General features: G+C 35.0%; 1 protein-coding gene across 53 annotated transcripts in view; it reads left to right on the top strand.

Annotated features, from left to right (window-relative positions):
- Positions 1-21,178, top strand: part of RALYL (RALY RNA binding protein like) — a 739,058-nt gene that overhangs the window by 46,302 nt on the left and 671,578 nt on the right. For 9 of the 53 annotated variants that reach the window (NM_001413311.1, NM_001413307.1, NM_001354320.2 and 6 more), the window contains one exon: positions 8,522-8,627. The exons of the other annotated variants lie outside the window; for them this stretch is intronic. The gene's annotated coding sequence lies outside the window, so the exon portion shown is untranslated. The remainder of the gene's footprint in view (positions 1-8,521; positions 8,628-21,178) is intronic. 53 annotated transcript variants of the gene reach the window in all.

Here is a 21,178-nt window from a genome sequence, read left to right on the forward strand (position 1 = left end):
TTCATTCATCCATTCATTCATACGTGCATACATACCTAAATGCATTTAGTCAATTAATCAATCAGCCATTTTGGTGGCCGAAATTTATAAGGCAAGTAATACTTTTAGTTTCTTTGATAGACACCATGATCAGAAACATAGTCTCTTTCTTAAAGGGAAAATAGGAAGTCTTCTGAGTCATAACAGATGCATACATAAATTTCTCTGAGTCTTCATAAGAAACACAAGCAAGATTTCACAGAGGCAGTGGAATTTGAACTGAGTCTTGAGAAATAAGCAATATCTGAACATGTAGAATGCAAAATAAAGGATAAGCAAGTGCTAATGCCCAGAGGGTAATACATATTAAATAACCAATAACCAATTGCTACTTGTGTTTCTTACACTAGAAGACAACTTGGAACTATTTATCCCAAATATTAATTTCCAGTTTGGGGTCCTGAGACAGTAACTTCAAAACAGTCGACATTAACTTCCAGTCCTTTTTTTCATTCCAGCCTATAATAATAATTTGTGTAGCTGCCCACATCTCTCACTAAATGTTAAGATAACTCTGGTTTAAAATATAAATAATTGAAGAATAATTAGATATTTTGAGATTAAGAAAGAGGATGGAACTTACAGAGGAAAGATAAATTATAGTTAGAAGTAACCTTGAGGTACTTCTTGCCCAATTTCTCATTTTACATATGAAAATATAAATTATGTGACATCCCAAGGTTGGGCACAATTGTAGTGGCAGAGCTGAGACTGGAACTCACAGTTCCTGACTTGCAGTGATTTTCTCCCCATGATAAATCTGATTTTGAAATATAGGATAAGAAGATTGCTTGTAGAATTAAAACCTGAGAACTTGAGTGTAATATAAGTGAAATAGAAAATTGCTAAAATAATATTTACACATAATTTTACTTGGATATCACTCCTAATTAGTTTGAGAAGTAGGTAGGACATAAATAACAAATAAATGAAGTAATGTATACTCAAATAAACAAAGCTTAATCTAATATAGTCCTCATATATAGGGTTAATTGTTGAAAATCCACTAGTGCCAATAGACTGTATATAAGTATAGAAATAGCTTCAAATTCCTGATTTCTAAAAATATATATGTGATATTTCACAAAAATTATTTTATGGTAGCTAATATAATTAAGGAAATGTGTATTTCATTCCATAAGTTAAATATTTTATGAAATTCTCAAAACAATGTATACATGGAGAGTTGCAACCAACCCTAAAAATAAATATTAATAAATATTGCAGGAGAATTTTTGAGGATGATACAAATTTATTCAGTTAATATGGATGACAAAAATAAACAAAATAACATGATTAAACAGAACTTTCTGGAAATTTAGTATACTAATGAATGTTATAAATATCCTGTGAATAATGTGAACAGGAGCAAATTTTGGTATTTAAAAACCTATTTATTTACATTAGTTAAAATATGAATTAGTTGTATAATAACTTACTCTCTAGTTATTCTCCTTAGAATTCTTACAAATCCTGAAGAAATGGAGCTTTAAGTTTTTCGACTTTCATACCAGTATAGTTACTACTATGGACACTACTTGTTACTACTATTTACTACTAATGGCTCTCATTTTTGAGCACATTTTTATGCCAAGCATTGTGCTAAGTCCTTTCTCTACATTTTCTCACTTAATTCTAATAATATTCTTGCAAGTTTGTTATTATCACCCACATTTTACAGATGAGGAAACAGCGTCTCATGGGGAATAAGGAAATGATTCAAGTCAAGCAATCATTAAATAGCGCAGTTGGTACTTAGGCCTAGGCCTCTCTGATTTCAAAGCCCATGCTCTTGACTTCCATGCTACACCACCTCTGTTCAGTTGCCACATATGTACGGAGCCTCTAGACACTAACACTCTTTTGGATATTAGGGATGCCAAGAACAAAAGAACAGCTTCAGCCTTTCCAGACTTTCTCCAGAAGAGAAGACATTTAACTAAACAATTGCAATGGAATCTTACAGTTGCTGTGGCAGTAAGGCATAAGAACATAGTCAGCTCATCAAAGAAGTCGTATCCTTTCTACTTACAAATTCCAAGGAAAGGCTTTTTCTAAGAAGTGATGCTTGAGCTGAGACTAGAAGATAAAGAAATGTTGGATGGATGAGAGAATGAATAGTTGTCCAGATTTGAGAAAAGACTAAGAACCATGACACGGCATGGGGAAAAGTGTAGTTTTCAAATTGACTGAAGTGAGAAATACAGCTAGAGAAAAAGGCACATGTATTAGCAAATATTGTATGACTTTTATTCACATTAATCACATATAAGAAAGGTTACAATATATTCCATAGTTATTGAGATACTGTTGATGACCTTATAGTACTGAAAAAATGGCCATGTTTGTTCTCTGTGTTCACTCTGAACGTAAAGCGCAATGCCATGAAAGGGGCCACACTGGGAAGAAGAAAACCAGTAAGGAGAATGTAAACATGACTCCCGGTGAGGGCTGGAGGGCCTTTTTAAAGATTTTACTTTTTCTGTTTTTAAAACATATTTCTTGGGTTAGATGAACCTAAGAAAATATATGGAGTTCTGTTTATTTCTTACATACTTTAAGTTACATGTTTACATCTGCAAATATCTCTGTAGTTGTTGGGTTATCATTGTCCATCAAACTCTTTCAAAGTAGTCATTACATCCTTTTCAAGTGCACATCTATTGAATAGTTACCATATACCAGGCCCTGTCCATGAGAAGATAGTTAAATATCTAGGATTCTGGGTAAGACTGCTCTTCCTGTTCAGAAAAGTTCAGTACAGATCAGGAAACTGAGAAACAAATATAACAATGTGGGATTTGTCAAAGATATCTGATATATAGGTATTTAATAAATAATAAAGGTGACATTTAGGATCATCATGGAAAAGGCAGATTATTCCAAAAAAAGGCTTTAATAAAGCCAGCTAATCATTTGGGGGAAAAAAGGTCTGGTCAGTACTCCGCCCTTTACACCAATATAAATTTCGGATGAATGGGATATTTAATTATGAAAACTGAAAATAACCCAAAATTTGGGTGACTTACCAACCCAAAATTTGGCTGACTTAGAATGTGGGGGGATTTTCAGTAAATTATACCAAAGACAGAAATCCATAAGGAAAAGACAAATTTGACTATATAAAAACTTCCAACTTCTCTGCTATGAAATAACATATACATGGTGGAAGAAAAATAACTGTGAAAGTTGTGTTCAACACAAGTGAGAGATGAAAGGTTACTATACACAATAAAATATTAAAATGTATTCAGACTTGCTAATAATCTAAAAAGTAGAAATAAAATGATAATGAGATATCATTTTAGCCTATCCAATTCAAAACTATTTTTTAAAAGTAAAGGATACAAAATTTCAGTTAGATAGGAGGAAGAAGCTAAAGAGACCTATTGTATAACATGGTGATTATAGTTTATAACAATATATTATATTCTTAAAAAATGCAAAGACAGTGGGCATTAAGTGTTCTCACCACAAAAATGGTAACTACCTGAGGTAATGCCTATGACTGTAATCTGACTAACTAGATTTAGTCATTCCACATGTAAATATACTTAAAAACAAAACTTCATGTTGTTTTGAAGAGAGACGGTAGGCATATATGTGTTGTATAACAATTTTATCTGTCAGTTAAAAAAGCTATATAATATGAATGTGTGATTATATTATATTAATATCCTATAAAGTGATCATATTATAACTGTGTGGAATTATAATGATGTCATATTTTAATAATATAATAAAACAGCCATTAAAAGTGGTATAGTAATATTCCTGAATATGGAAGAAACCTTTCGCATACTCAAGATAAAATTTCTTTCTTTCCTACATTTGCATTTTAAAATTTGTATTTTCTTTTTTTCTTTTTTTAAAGACAGGGTCTTGCTTTGCCATCCAGACTAGAATGTGGTGGTGCAAAATCATAGTTCACTGTAACCTCAAACCCCTGGGCTCAAACGATCCACCTGCCTTAGCCTCCCAAACAGCTAAGACTGCAGATGTGCACCACCACACCCAAATAATTTTTATTGTTTTTTTGTAGAGATGAGGTCTCACTGCATTGCCCAGGTTGGTGTCAAACTCCTAGCCTTGAGACATCTTCCCGACTTGGGCTCCCAAAGCTCTGGGATTACAGAGTCGCATTCATCCTATATTTACATTTTATATGTAATGCATTTTTATATTCAGAGAATACAAAAACTTCCATTTTGTAGGAAAAAAATCTGATGCATTTGGTGGAGACATTTTATTACTATGGCAGATCTGGGTTCTAGGTATACCCATAACATTGTGTCACTAGTGTGAGGGAGCTAGACTAACTCCCACCCCAAAGCACCTCACTCATTCCAGCTTTGGTCTGCTTTAGGTCTGGTGCTGAGTAGACTTGGAATTAATCCTTGCCTTTTAAATTTGAGATAGCAGAAAGCAAGGACTAGTACTGCTTCTTAGTCACCACTCTGCCACCTCCATTCTTCCAACCGTTCAAACTCAAAACCCTGGAGTTTTGGGTGAACTTTCCTTTTCTTTGTCTTAGCCAACATCAGTACTCACCAAGTCCTACTCATTCTTGCCTCCATTCTTTTTCCTTCACTTGGACCAACATTATCATATTCTGGGGTCTCATGGGTATTGATAATGCAATAACTTTCTAGTTGGTCTTGTTTCCCTCTGTCTTTTTCCCTTTAATTTATCCTAACATTGCTACTTAAATTCTTGAGAATAGCATGTTTCATCTTAGTCATTTTCTATTACCTTTTGGATGGTGATTTCCTTTCTTTCCTTACTTCAGATGAAAACTGTGAAACTTGTAGATGGCCAACTATTGTTCTAAGGATGTGCAGTGAGCTTTTCAGTCTCATTTGTCTGTAGTATCCTGATGCACCTTTGATTGTCTTGCCTTCCTTTCTTACTTGTTGGCATCTCTTTTACCTATTTATCTTTTTGTATCTCTCTGTGGAATGAAGTATAAACATAAATATCATAAGGAAAAGCCAGATAACTCCAATAATTTTCAGTGTATTAGGCATTTTTGGAAAAAAATCCAGAGTTAAATTGTTTATACACTTTCAAGAGTCTAGTCACTGCTAATTTCTCCTCTTTGCTCATCATTTCTTAGCTTTGGCAGATTGGCCCATTTGTTCATTTGTCTTTTGACCCAAATAAAAATGGTATCTTTTGTAGAAAGCTCTGTAAAGGATACCTTTATATATGTATTTTCTTATTCTCTGTTATAAAATGACATGCTTCTTTTTCACATCTTCAACAGAAATAACATAATCTTGCAAGACTTCTTCAACCTGAATCCTTGAGCTTAAACTGATGACCAGGATACAATGTGATATAAGGATTAAGTACTTGATCTTTAATGTTAAGATAGGAATTTATTTTAAAAAGCATGTTTCATAACTGATTCAGCTGGGTGACTTGGGGAAAGTTACTTAAGCATTTTAAGCTCGAGTTTCCTTCTCTGGAAAGTGCAACCATTTTTGAGCTATTTTCCTTCATCGGAATGTCCTTTCCTTTCTGTCCATCTGCCCACCTTTTAAACATTTTGAACATCTTAAAATCAATTTTCTGAGAGGACATGCAACTTTACTTCATTAAAGTATTTACTAAATTGCAAAATTTTATTTATTTATTTATTTTTTTTTTTTTGAGATGGAGTCTCGCTCTGTAGCCCAGGCTGGAGTGCAATGGCACAATCTCAGCTCACCACAACCTCTGCCTCCCAGGTTCAAGTGATTCTCCTGCCTCAGCCTCCCAAACAGCTGGGACTACAGGTGGGCGCGACCATGCCCGGCTAATTTTTGTATTTTTAGTAGAGACGGAGTTTCACTAAATTGGCCAGGCTGGTCTGGAACTTCTGACCTTGTGATCTGCCCGCCTCAGCCTCCCAAAGTGCTGGGATTACAGACGTGAGCCACCGCGCCGGGCCTAATTGCAAAATTTTAGAAATAGAAATGTTTTGCTTTGTTCTAAGTAGCATTTTCCATTTTGTTTATTATGAATATTTTATGACAATTGTTATTCAAAGTTTGCATTCTTCAGAGTTTCTTTTTATTTAATTATAATGTGAAAATTAATTGACAAGTGCAATTTTATTTTCATTTTAAGAATTTGTAGCAAAATACACAAATATTCAGATGAAGTTGAAATACAGGCTAAGAAGTCAGTTAGACAAACTGATTTGGGGCAACTGAACCACTTTAGACATAGATATTCATTATCAGCTTCCCCTCTTCCACAATAAGATTTGAAATATGCCCCTTTTACTTCATGTACCAATTATATTTCAGATTGCCAATTATGGCTCCTTGAAATATGATAAGAATTTGTATTAAACCATTTCTTGTTGCTGTAATTTGTAGTCAATTTGATGTTGGCATGGCCAGAAGATAACCTCAGAATGTCCTGCAAGATTTTGATGTGTAAGTTATATAAATCATAGAAGAAGAAATCCAGAATTGGAATCTTGAATATTAACAGTTTACCTTAGCAGAGATGCTAAAACCTCAACACAGCATTGGATAGTTAGTAATATTTTTAGTACATACTATGTTACTAATTCAAAGAGGGTGAAACTACATTGATATGAGTTGCTAAATATTATCCAATGCATTTCTTTTTCTTTTTCTTTTTCTTTTTTTTTTTTTTTTTTGAGACAGAGTCTCATGCTGTTGCCAGGCTGGAGTGCAGTGGTGCGATCTCGGCTCACTGCAGTCTCCAACTCCCTGGTTCAAGCGATTCTCCTGCCTCAGCCTCCCGAGTAGCTGGGATTATAGGCACGTGCCACCACACCCAGCTAATTTTTGTATTTTTAGTAGAGACAGGGTTTCACCATGTTGGCCAGGATGGTCTTGATCTCCTGACCTCATAATCCACCCACCTTGGCCTCCCAAAGTGCTGGGATTACAGATATTACCAACATGATTCCAGTTCATTAAAGCTGTTCTCGTGGCTGTGTTTCATTTTTATTAGGACATTAGATAGTTTAATTATATGACATCCAGTATAATCAACTTGAGTAAGATAGTTTGCAACGTATATATTACATTTTATAAAATGGACTAAAGGCATATTTGGAAAGATGAGAACACCATATTTATCAACAAGTTTTTGCATCTGCCCAGTGATATAAAGTAACTCAGGATCACAAAGCAACAATATACATAAATTACAGTAATCAAAATTTATGTTAAGCACAGGCAGTGAATTGTGTAAGAATAAAGTATTTTTCATCAGCTGAACAGTTACCAAGAATTTAGATTCACAGCCTTGGCTAAATGACCCTTCCCCACAGGAAGGGTTCTGTGGGGTTCCTTTATTGCCATTCAGTGGTGCTTGCTTGAGTAGTTTGAATCTGCCCATATGATAGGCACCTTTTTTATTGTATAATGATCCTGGCCAAGTCATGCGATTGGGTTGCCACCTTATGTCTCTAGTAAAGCAAGACACTAGGATTTGTGCTGAAAGGAAAAGAGATGCAGAAAGGGCACACTGGAACTTAAAGATTGCTCTGTGTGTGCCAGACACAGACATTGTAAGGGCTGTGGCTTTCCCATCACTCACTATACTTTTCCAATCAATATCGTCGTGAGGTGACTGCAGTGATATTATTTCACTGTGTCAAAAAATGAAGTGACACCTAATAAAAATGCAAAGGAAAAAGCTGGAAACCAAAAGAAAATGGTTTCATGCTTCAAACACAGGTAGAATATAATAAAATTATGGGAGATGATGTGTACTTCAATAAAAGTTTATTAAGCTGAAAGAAATAATATGGTGTAGTATAATTTACTTAATTAGCACCTAATTAGTAAGTAAATGTATTTGGTTCTTAGATGGTGAACCATCTAGGTTCCTGTAGGATAATGATGGCTGTCAAAATTTGATCTCTCCAAATATCCTACAGAAAAATCAACAAGGAGAGTAAATAAAACTCTTTTCAAGCAAGCTTACAGAATAACTAGCAGACCAAGAATACTGCACATTTTAAGATACTTCTTAATGGGAAATAAGTTACAGGAAACCTACACAGCCAGTTCCAAAGCCCATGCTGGAACCAGTGTAGGCAGAGAGAGAAGTGAACCAGGGAGTGCAGCAGGATTCTCTTGGTGGCTGGGCATAAATAAGATCACTCCCAAGAGGGAGAAGTACTGAGAACAGCTCTGGCAGCTGGTGGATGAGACCACTGTGTACTAGAGAATCCTAAGGAAGAATCTTAAAGGTATGCAGAGCAGAAGTGACAGTCTTGGGTATGCACTGCCTCAGCGGGAGATTCTCTTAGAGGCTGAGAGGTGAAGGGAATAAAATAAGCAGTTGGTAGAAATTTGAGGTATTAAAGAAAGGAATGAGTATCTGAAAATCATATGACTTACCACTCCCTTTCTGGAAATAATTTTTTTAAATACATTTTATTACACCGAAAAAACAAAGTTCTATTGACAACAACAACAATAAAATTCAAATTCTTCTTTCCTAGACAGACCAATTTTCTTGTTATTGAAGAAAACCCTCAGATAATTTAAAATAAATAGAGGAACATCAGGCTGTATTCAAACACCATTACTATAAGAAGAAAACAAAAAGTAAGTCTTTTTTAATCTGATGATTATGATTCCCAAATACAACCCACAACTCAGAAGAAATATTATTAAGCATTTGCATATGTGAAAGAACATTTCAGATTGAAAATTTAAAAACTGAGGAGATGAATTAAAGAAAAGCTGAAGGATGTGGCATAAGAGTTGATAAAATCAGGAAATTGAAGAGAAAGGTACACCAAAAGAGGCCAAAGATTTTTTTTAAAATGAAAGTAATTGGAAATCAGCTATTAAAATATGAATCTAAAAAAAAGAAGAAAAAAGTGCAAAAACAAAACAAAAGAAAAAAAACACTAAAAAATTTAAAAACATAAAATGTGAATATATAAGAAGAAATTAATAACCGTAATGTTAAGCTGAATTGCTTGTAAATCATTTAATAAGCATAAAATATTTTGTAGAATGACCCACACTTTCTCCTTCATAAAAATATAATGGTCTATTATCAGAGGTGAGGTACACATTTGTTTTCAGACAGTACGACATTCATTAATGAATTAAAAATTGGGAAATATTTATAAAATATTTCTTTGATGATGTCCAGAAATTGATCGTATACATATTATGAGGGAAATTATTTTGTTGTAAATATTTTCATTGCATGATATCTGTCCATACATATATATGTATATAGATTTTTTTTTCTCCGAAGACTCAAATCTTCTTGAGGGAAGACTTTGTTCTTTATTTATATTTATATTTCCAGAACATTTCATGATGCCACATGCATCCTAGGTGCACGGTTAAATTAACATTTGCTGCCTGAACTGTAGCATATATCAACCAGCTACTACTTACCTTATAACTGCGATATTCATATTTTTAGTAGAGAGAAACTTGTTATTTTATTATGTCTTGAAATTCATGGTGAACCTGGTGAGTAAGATCAGAGAGGGCGTTGACTGAGCTTGGCAGAGAAGCAAGGGGGAAGATAGGAAAAGTGATGAAAAGTCAAGCCCTTTGAAGGCTGTAGTGGTAGGGTATGAGAGAGGAGAGGGAAATTTTAGAGCTTCTTCCATCAAGCTTAGTAGGAGTCAGCACATCCATGTGGGCACAGAGTGACAGCAATTCAGAAAACAGGCATGGTGGTGGCTGCTCACACTCAGTTTGTGACTTCCAGATCTGTAATTAATATAATGAATTGGACATAGTCTAGTTTTATGACAATCTATAGCATGCATCTTGTTTCTTGTTACGAGTTTACAAGTTGTGGCTCAGAATTAGTGGTTCTACTGTGGACCATGGGGCTTTACCTAGGCTGACAAGGAGGTAAAGACATCTTATACCATGTTAGGCACCATAATGACCTGAGATGTGCAGCAGCTTTCTGTTATAGGTGCTGATGAACTATGCTTCAAAATGGCTTGAGGCTACATAACCACATTGCTAGTTTTTCTCCTCTTGATGTATGGTTTGACCATTCCATGGTTAGTAGGTATACAGAAAATGCCTTAAACATTATGATGTTTTTATTATAGAGAACAGAAGAAACTCTCACCAACTGAACACTTACATAGCTTATAATTCATCCATGGACAACTCAAATAAAACATAACTTGATAAATATAATTGAGTCCCCTCATGCATTGAATAAATTTGGGTCATTTTCTAATTCTATCAGAACCAGGAAATGTAACAAAATCCAACTGTAATATGCTTAAGTAGAAAAATATACCTCAGTTAATAATTTAAAAGAGCTGCATGTGTTTATACAATGCCTAGCCGTTACATGTCTCAGACCATTAAATCTCTATGGCATTATCACAGTAGTTACCTCATTTCCATTGTACAGATGAGGAAACTGAGACATAGGTTAATAGCTTACTCAAAATCACTCAGATAGTAGCTGCCAGGGTTTACATTAAGACAGCGTGGCTCGGTGGGGCGTGGTGGCTCACGCCTGTAGTCCTAGCACTTTGGGAGGCTGAGGCGGGCAGGTCATCTGAGATCAGGAGTTCCAGACCACCCCAGCCAACATGGTGAAATGCTGTCTCTACTAAAAATACAAAAATTAGCCAGACGTGGTGGTGTGTGCCTGTAATCTCAGCTACCCAGGAGGATGAAGCAGGAGAATCGCTGGAATCTGGGAGGCAGAGGCTACTGTGAAGCCGAGATCGCGCCACTGCACTCCAGCCTGGGCACAGAGTGAGACTCCATCTCAAATAAATAAATAAAAATAAATAAAAATAAAAATAAAAGACAGTCTGGCTGTAGTGTGTGTGCCAAAGTACTGCAGCACATTTGGTACTTTCTACTTAAAATTGATTTACACAGTAAAAGTGACAGACCAACAATAGAAAGCCAATGTTTTAATTCATTGTGGAAGAATCAGTGATAGCAATGACTAAATTTTTAAATATTATTTGTCACTGTTTGACAATATTATTGTAGACACACTAAATTTATATATTTTCTAAACCAGAATTGAGACAAATGAGTAATAAAAACTTCCCACAGTCTGTACATTTAGATAAAACAGGTAAAAAATTAAAAAGCAATTATACTTTTGATGTTATTGTTTTTTAAAAATTAAATAATGTTTTCTAGAAAATTGTTCTATTTAAAATTCTCTTTAGCTTTGATCCTTCCAAAATTCCAATTAATGTCAATTGAGGTATTGCTGATTTTGAACTCTTCACTTCTTGAGATCTAGAATATCGAAAGTCTGGCCTCTTTCTTGCAATCAGTTCTAATCAGCAGATATTTATTGAATGCCTATTAAGTGCAACACTGTTACTAAGAAATAAATATCTTCAAATAACATGCATTCTTGTAGGGAACTTTCATTCTTCAAGATGATAGAAGAAATGTCACAAGGTGAAATATGTGAATTCATTTCCACATGAATAAAACAGACAGGATGTACTATGGCATTTCTGAAGGAGAGGGGTCTTTATACTTCAGCATTATGGATAAAAAAAGTTCTCATGGAAAGACCAACTTGAATTAGGCATTTCTAAGAACTTTTTAACCAGTAACTTTAAAACACTTTCCAGCTAAGTTGTAGACTTTTGATTTTAACAGACAGGAATAGAAAAGATGTGATAAAAAGCTCAAATTTGAGAATGAACTATATCCCAGTAACAGCATTGAGTGTTGACAAAAAGATGTGTTCTTTTAAAAATCAAAGCAATAGATACACATAGCTTCAGAATAAAATAATGGCAATAGGTTTATAAACAGAGTCAGCAGACACCTACCTCATTCCCTACCTCCCTTGGTATTAACAGGGAAAAATTCTATTAAATATTAATTTTAATATTTAGCTGTGTGTATTAAAATAATACAGATATACTGTCATTTCTAAATATATATACTTATATATATTTATTTTGGACATGATCTGTTGATTTTTTGTTATAGTACTTACTTTGCTCACTTAAAAAAACATACACATACACACGTGTACATGAGTGCCTGTGCACACACACAAGTACCTCCCCTCCATATATTTCTCCAACAAATTCATTCTGATAAGTTTATGGTGAGGTGTATTGTCAGTATTATTGCCGTTATTCCCATGTGTCTTTTTTTCTTTCTCTATATAGTCTCTGCTTCCTCCTGGTTTGATTATCCTGCTTGTTTCTATTGGACTTTCTTTTTCATGTTGGAATACCTGATAATCCCTGGTTACGTTCTCCATTAAGAGTAAAGCACTGAAAAGCTCTGTGTGCTTGGTGTGGCGGCTGGAGAATGAAGAGAGAAAGTGATAGGCTTTCCAGCTGCTGAGTGTGATCAGTGAATTGGACTAAAATCTGTATGGAGGGCCTGGCGCGGTGGCTCATGCCTGTAATCCCAGCACTTTGGGAGGCTGAGGCAGGCAGATCACGAGGTCAAGAGTTCAAGACCAGCCTGGCTGATATGGTGAAACCCTATCTCTATTAAAAATATGAAAAAACTAGCCGGGCTTGGGGGTGCGTGCCTGTAGTCCCAGCTACTCAGGAGGCTGAGGCAGGAGAATCACTTGAATCCAGGAAGTGGAGGTTGCCATGAACCAAGATTGTGCCACTGCACTCCAGCCTGGACAATAGAGGGAGACTGTGTCTCAAAAAAAAAAAAAAAAAAATCTGTATGGAGGAGGTCTTACAAATATTAGTAACCACACTTTTTGTTTTTTTTCTTCAACTTTTCAGTTTTGGGGTACATGTGCAGGATATGCAAGTGTGTTACATAGGTAAACATGGGCCATGGTGGTTTGTTGCACAGATAAACCCATCACCTAGACATTAAGCCCAGCATCTACTGGTTATTCTTCCTGATGCCCTCCTTCCTCCCTCCCACACCCCCAACAGGCCCTAGTGTGTGTTGTTCCCCCCATGTGTCCATGTGTTCTCATCGTTCAGCTCCCACTTACAAGTGAGAACATACAGTGTTTGGATTTCTGTTTTTGCATTAGTTTGCTGAAGATAATGGCTTCCAGTTCCATCCATGTCCCTGCAACAGACACGGTCTTATTCCTTTTAATGGCTGCATAGTATTCCATAGTGCATATGTACCACATTTTCTTTATCCAGTCTGTCATTGTTGGGCATTTGGGTTGATTCCATATTTTTGCTATTGTAAATAGTGCTGCAGTATACATGTGTCATTATAATAGAATGATTTCTATTCATTTGGGTATATACCCAATAACAGAATTGCTGTGTCAGATTGGTATTTCTGCCTCTAAATCTTTGAGGAATTGCTACAGTGTCTTCCACAATGGTTGAACTAATTTACATTCCCACCAACAGTGTAAAAGCATTCCTATTTCTTCACAACCTTGCCAGCACCTGTTGTTTCTTCAGTTTTTAATAATTGTCATTCTGACTGCTGTGAGATATTTTGATTTTGATTTGCATTTCTCTAATGATCAGTGATGTTGAGGTTTTTTTATATGTTTGTTGGCTGCATGAATGTCTTCTTTTGAGAAGTATCTGTTCATGCGCTTTGCCCACTTTTTGATGGGGTTGTTTGTTTTTTACTTGTAAATTTGTTTAAGTTCCTTGTTGACTCTGGACATTAGGCTTTTTTCAGATGGATTTGATAGATTGCAAAAATTTTCTCCCATTCTGTAGGTTGTCTGTTCACTCTTAAGATCATTTCTTTTGCTGTGCAGAAGCTCTTTAGTTTAATTAGATTCCATTTGTCAATTTTTGCTCTTGTTACAATTGCTTTTGACATTTTCATGATGAAATTTTTGCCTGTGCTATGTTCTGAATACTGTTGTCTAAGTTTTCTTCTAGGGTTTTCATAGTCTTGGGTTTTACATTTATGTCTTTAATCCATCTTGAGTTAACTTTTATATAAGGTGTAAGGAAGGGGTCCGGTTTCAATTTTATGCATATGGCTATCCAGTTCTCCCAGCACCATATATTAAACAGGGAATTCTTTCCCCATTGCTGAAGATCAGATGGTTTAGATGTGAAGTCTTATTTCTGAGTTATCTACCTGTTCCATTGGTCTATGTGTCTGTTTTTGTACCAATACCATGCTGTTTGGTTACTGTAGCCTTGTATAGTTTGAAGTTGGGTAGCATGATGCCTCCAGCGTGTTTTTGTTGTTGTTGTTGTTGTTTCTTATGATTGACTTGGCTATCCAGGCTGTTTTTTTGTTCTGTATGAATTTGAAAGTAGTTTTTTCTAATTCTGTGAAGAATGTCAATGGTAGTTTAAAGTGAATAACATTGAATCTATAAATTACTTAGGGCAGTATGGCCATTTTAGCAATATTGATTTTTCCTATCCATGAGCATGGAATATTTTTCCGTTTGTTTCTGTTCTCTCTCACACTTTTTTTTTTTTTTTTTTTTTGAGGTCTATCAGTCAGCTTTTCAGAGTGGAACAATGTAGTTTTCAATCTGGGAGGTATGCATCTCTCTACTCATGTTCTGGAAGCTAGATGAGAAGAAACAGCAGAGTTAAATATGTAGACATCAGTTAATTACTCACTTTCCCACCCTCCATATGCATTTATTCATGTTTTAATTTGCATTGTGCTTTGCTGTGCCGAGTTTCCTCCAATCCATGATCTCTCAGATTTTCTTTTTCAAGAGAATACCCTTCTAGCTGGGCTGGTTAGTCACAGTGTAGTGGCATGAAAGATCATTACCTGGCTTCACAGAGTTGGAATCTTGCACTATAAGTTAGGAGTCTGGGAGGATATAAGTCAGGAGGACATGCACCCTCTCTTTGGCATTTCCCTTTGAAGTCAGACTTAGTCAGTTGCTATTATTCTAAGACCTTTCCATCAATGTAAATGAATATAGGTTTCTTACTTGTTCTTGTCTTTCTCCTCTTCATTTTTTCTATGTGGCTTAGTAAATTATTTTTTTTCTTTACTACCATTTAGTGGCTTTGGGGCAGGGGCAGGAGATTAATCATGCATATTCAATTAAATAGAAGCAACTATGTATCTTATTAATATGATTAATATGATTGCTATTCCCTATAAATTTTCCAGTAATCCTATGACATTATCCCATTTAGTGGATGAGTATATTAAGATTCAGCTAAGGTTAAGTGACTTACCAAACTGGGTTTGACTCAAAGATACAGAAACATAAGAATACAGAATTCTTAACATTTTAATTAAGGACAAAAGTTTAGTATTCTTTTCCCTTAGATAATATCTTCCAAATAATTTTGATATACCAAGCAAACAGTGTACATGAGGTTATACAACATTCCATTATTTCCCTTTTTACATTTATCTGAATACATCACCAAAGTTTCTGAACAACCTGAGTAGTCAGAATTGTACCACAGGAAAAGAGTCTTCTTCCTTCCAGTTTTCAATGTCACTTTATGTCACATTTCTTTAAGCTATTCTGAGGTACAAACCATTCCACTTTTTGCCCACTGTACTGTCTTACATCTGCTGCACTATTTCTTTTTGTCAGGACAGCACCTCATTTCCAGGTCTTAGTTGTCTTTGTTGTTAACCCAATTACCTCAAAAACTGCTTCAAACAAAAATGATCATTTATTATCTTTCACATTTTGTGGATTACAAATTCAGACACATCACAGTTTCTGTGGATCTGCTGGGAGAATGAAAGGTCAGGAGCTTGAATTATCAGAGGTTTCCTTCACTTATATCTGAAGGTGGATTCTTGCTGTTAGTTGGGACTTGTGAAGATGGTGAAGGGTCTGAGATTTTGCCAGATATGTAAACTATCATACATGCTGGCAGAAGACACAAGATTCCTGAGTCAGAGACAAAAGACTTTATTAATTAAGGCATAGAAGGGAGAGTGATTTTCAAGTTCACGCAATTACCCTTGTTCTTAAGTCCTACAAGGGGAACATGGAGTGACTCAGGTGGATACTGCACATATAGTATATATGCTTCATAGATGAGCAACCTTGAGCTTGGAAAATATCAATCTTTGCAATGGGCTGGAAGTGAACTTCCTTGAACTTTGCACTGAAGGGCAACATGATCCTCTGACTGGTCAGTAAACAAATCTACCCTTGCTCTAGAGAGGGACGCTGTTTCTGTCTTCCAGGGTTCTCTGGTATGCAAAATTCTCGGAAAGGTAATCTGGAACAATTGTCTCTGCTAGCAAGATGTGCAGAAACACAAAAGACTCATTGAGAAGTTTCTCCTCATAAAATGAAAGGAGGACAATGGACTTTAAACAATAATTGGCAGCTTCTGAAGTGTCTTTTAGGACAGATTCATATGAACAAATAATTTTACCAGATTGTAAAAAATGTAGAGGAATTTGGACTCCTTAGATTGGTGGTCCAAATGAAAGGCTGATAAATTCTGCTTGGGGGCCTTGATTCAGAGAAGACTTCAAATAGAAAATGCTTGAAAGGAGCAAATTAGATAATAAGGAAATCTTTACATACTCTATTGCTGTTCTTATTGTTGTTGTCATTAGCTGTTTAAGCGTATGCATATGACTTATCACATCTAAGATGCTTGAATAGTTTTGGATAGCATATATTCATAAGAACATTTGTTAACATTAAAGTAAACTTCTAGCCTGGAGAAGGGTAGACTCAGGGGTATGCATGATAGCATGTTTAAATAATCTGAAGGAATGCTGTAGGGTGGGTGGAGTGACAGGTTTAAACTGCTCCAGAATACAGAATCAGGATCAATGAATAAAGGTTATGAGAAGGCTGATTTACCCTCACTACAAAGAAGAACCTTTCAATAATTAAAGCACAGCCTGGGAGGAATCTTAATTGACAAAGAGAAAGTGCAGCTTTGAAAGCAAATGCAGAGAGAGCTTCACAGAAAAGAGAGCATGGAAAAATCAAGCCCTGAATAATGTAATATCATGTGTTGGTATTCAGAAGCCAAAGGAAGATGGTAAAATGGTAGCAGTGACAGTGGTCCTGGGAGAGAGATGTTCTTTGGATAATTTCATAATTGGGTAATTATGCCAAGAACACATGTGTACCCCCAAGAGGTAGACAACAGCACCAGTGAAGACAGATGGAGCTGACTTAGAGTGAGCTTTTCCCTTCCTTCCTCACCCTGCCTCATTCTCTCTCTTTCCTTCCCTTTATTACTTTTCCCCCACTTTCACGATATAAATATCTACTTTGTGTCAGACACTATGCTCAGACCTAAGGCTATAGTAGTGAATAGAAACTGTTTTTACCTTCAAGAAACTTACAAGTTAGTAAGAGAAACAAAACAAATATATGACAACAAATCATAATAATTTGCAAGGGAGATTTTCAAGGAAGAAACTTACAAGGGACAACCAAATTAGATTGAAAGACTAGAAAAGCTTCCCTGAAGAAGTGATATTTAAGCTGAGATGTAATTCCAAGTAAGAATTTTCCAGGTATAGAAAGAAGGGATTGCTATGGAAAATATGATAGGAAAGACCTTCTCACAATAAGAAACTGCCAGAAGGCCAATGTGGTTGGAAAAAAGCGCCTGTGGATAAATGATCTGAGAAGAGACTGGAGACTTAAGCAGGATCCTAAAGCAGAACTGGGCTTCTGCTTAGAGGACTGATTGGTGATGAGGAGGTGTATAGAGGGCTGACCCTCCAGGAGGCTGTTGCCACAGTCCAGGTGTGGTATGTACCAAATACCTGGATGTGGAGGAGGAGAGACATGGGTGGATGCTTTTCCACACCAATAAGTAAAACAACTGACCAATCTCCAAGCAAAAAAAAAGTGATCATCCATCAGTATTATTTTCTAATTGCCATCAAATGTCTATGACCCTCAGAAAGCATGATGGTTAACAATACAGACTTTGGAGTGAGATTGGCTATGTCCAGATCCTAGCTTTTGTATTTACTAGTTGCATGAACTTGTGCAGTCTGGCCTTCAGTGCATATACCTGTAACATAAGCTGCATAGACATGTCTGTTTTATAGGGTTAGTGAAATTATCCAAATGGCGATTATCCAAATCACGATGGTGATTTATGGAAAGACATCACAGGCAAAGTATACAAGTTTCTTTAAAGAAGTTAACAAGAACTGAACTGGGTAGAAATGGTTGTACAAAGCCAGAAGCTTTCCACATTATTCCTATTAGAGGAGCAAATATCCCATGCCATTCAAGTATGTCAAATGTGCCCTAGCATTTATTGGACCATTAGGTTTTTCTTGGTGTTTCTTTATCATTCTTCTGTGATGTCTTAAACCCTTTTGGTTTGTTTTAATATTTATGTATTTCTTAAGAGGTACATGTAACTGGTAGGCACACTGCCAACACATTACTGAATTTTTCTCAAGGTTACCATACCAAGTGTATTATCCTTTAGCAGGCCAAATATTAGGTTTTCTTGAAGTTTATTCCTGCAAGTTTGTGCAACAATTTAATGACACATTTTAAATTTAAAAAAAAAAAAGAAAAAAAAACTTGGTGCAAACCTGGAAATTTGTAAATATAGAATAGGACGCAGGCTTTAATTACTAGTGAATTGTTAAATAAATCTGTTTGGTTTAGTTTTGGTTATTCTAAATTCTATTCTAAAAAGAATTTCTTGTATTATTTTCCAAGAGCTTATAATAAAGTACCCCTTCAAGTGTAATAATACAGACACGTCTAATCGAAGTGAGCCAGCTCACCATCTGCTCACAGTTCTGCTACTTAAGCAGTGATAACACTAAAAACAGTCTGCCAGAGTTTCAGTTATGCAAATAAAATAAATGGTGGGACTCAGACTATCCTAGCTTTGCATTAATTTGTGTGTCTTCAGAATGACACCAAAGTAGAAACAGTTCTTCTGTGTATTATGTCAAAGGAATATATTTTATAAAAGCTCTCTGTCAAGTGGAAAATTAGTTTCAAGATATAAACAGTTTTTGTGCTTAAGTTTACTAAACTAATAAATTTTAATCATGATAATTACAACAATAATATACATAAATAAGGTACGTACAGCTTATTCCTCCTTTAATTTGCTTAGGGGAGGGCTTTATGTACCTGAGAGGAAAAAATAGGAGGATTACCAATTTATATGCTTGGTACCAAAATATGTGATTAAATTTAGTTGGCTACATCAGGCCATCATGAGATATCTCTTTAGGATGCTCATAAATAAATTGGCCAGGTGTAGGCTTACAGCCTGAACAACATTTCAGGGGGCTTATGGGAGTAAATAGAAGTAAAGATTAGTCAGTAGTAGTCCTATTCAGCAACTTTATCAAACCTGGACCAAATAATCTCCTGATAGGCAAACAATGCCGTGTCTTTCCCAAGGGATAGCACTTGATGTGTCCCTCTTAGTACACCTAAGAGCTCTTTGTGGTCAGAATTCATACATCATTAATGATTGTTCTAATATTGTTTCCACAAAATGGTAACAGCAGTAATTTGATGCTGTCTTTTGTTGCAAATATAGTCTGCTTTTGCGTAATCCTTAGTCATCTTGTATTCTCCACCAAAACTTTCTCTCCTGCTTTTAGATTTACATTGTGAGGCTGTAGATGGAGAAAACATTCTTCCTCTCACTCTTCTTTCTTGTTATCTGTTCTGATGCTATTGGACATTTTGGGTTGAGAATCTATCATATTGAATGTTGGCATGAAATCTGTGCATTATTCAAACTCATATTTAACTCATATTTATATGCTTCCAAAATGAAAGCATATAAGTAGCAGCAGTTTCATTTTGTGGAAGGATTTACATTTTCCTTTTGAGTTACAGAATATAAGGAAGAAAATCAACAAAGTCTTCAGAGACTTGATGTTTTAAAGGTAGCTTGAAATACCTCAAACATAAATTATCCAGCTTGATTATGTCAAGAAAAAAAGAAAGAAATATCACTTTGTAGTCATGGTTCTCTTTTTATATATTTGTTTATTTTGTAGTCATGGAACGAGCATTTCTTGAACAAAAGTAGTTATTCATTATGATAAAAGGGTCAATATTATTTTAAAAAGAACTGTGTTGGCAATATTGAGGCAGCGTAAAACAATATTGGAATTATTTAAAATATTGAAAAATACAAAGGAGATGATATTCAAGAAACCCTAACGTCACAAAATTGGGTAAGGAATTAAAGGAAGATTGCCTGGAACTTGATAAATTAAATTAAAAAGTTGTTATTTATGTTGTTCCTTTTTCCTACTATAATTTCACTGTATTTAGCCAGGCACAGTCAGCTAACCTGTTAGATTGCTGTAAAATTTGCAAGACAAAACTTGTACAAGAGTTTAGATAAATGTTTAGACCTGACCTATCTGAGTTCTACATCATTGAGAAGAAAACATAGTATAACCCTCATTTAAAATCTCTCCTTTAAGATAGTCCAGCAACTTATATCCATAAGCAATTAAAATTTGTAACTTTATCAAACCATTTTTGAAATAAGTGATTCTTTTAACTTTATTTTTACAATTCTACAATTTTAAAAGCCAAAACACAATTACTTGAGGGAAGTGATAAAGGTGAATGAGGAATCCTATAGTCTTGAAACTGAAAAATAGTTGAGTACATATTTTCTCTGCACTTTATGGAAGACTAAACTGAATTCTAGAAAATCAGAAGATGCCTCTAGATTGTTTTCAAGCCAAGACCACATGGGCATCTTGATGTCTTAGAGAGTATATATTCTACTGCACTATACTACATGTAGAAGATTCTAAGTCCATTGAAAAAAATTACCAGGGAGAGAAAATATAAAATAAATAATAGTACCTGGAGTTAATGTATTGTTAATTTTGAGTTCAAAGGTTTTTTTTTTCCTATATGCACATAACCAAGCTATTAATAATAAAATAACAAGAAGATATAAAAAGGTGATTTTTTTTTAGTAAGTAAAGTATTTTGAAAAATGTTCCAAAATTTATAAAAATATTGGTATGGGATTTCTAATTTTATTCGTGTTTCAGATTAATTTATTACAATATCCAGTGTCCTGCTTTATTAAACAGCTGAGACAATACAGAAAGGAAAACTAGAAATTAAATTATCTATTTATGCCTTTTAATTTTAGGGAAACAGAGGCTTCATAGCACTCAAAAAATTTATTATGGCCGTCAAACAGCGGTTCACAATAGTGTTCTAAAATTTAAAAAAATCTTTTTGAACTTCACATTACAATGAGCAACTGAGCAGATGGTAC

This window comes from Homo sapiens, chromosome 8 (assembly GCF_000001405.40).
Source record: "Homo sapiens chromosome 8, GRCh38.p14 Primary Assembly".
Lineage (NCBI taxonomy): Eukaryota > Metazoa > Chordata > Mammalia > Primates > Hominidae > Homo > Homo sapiens.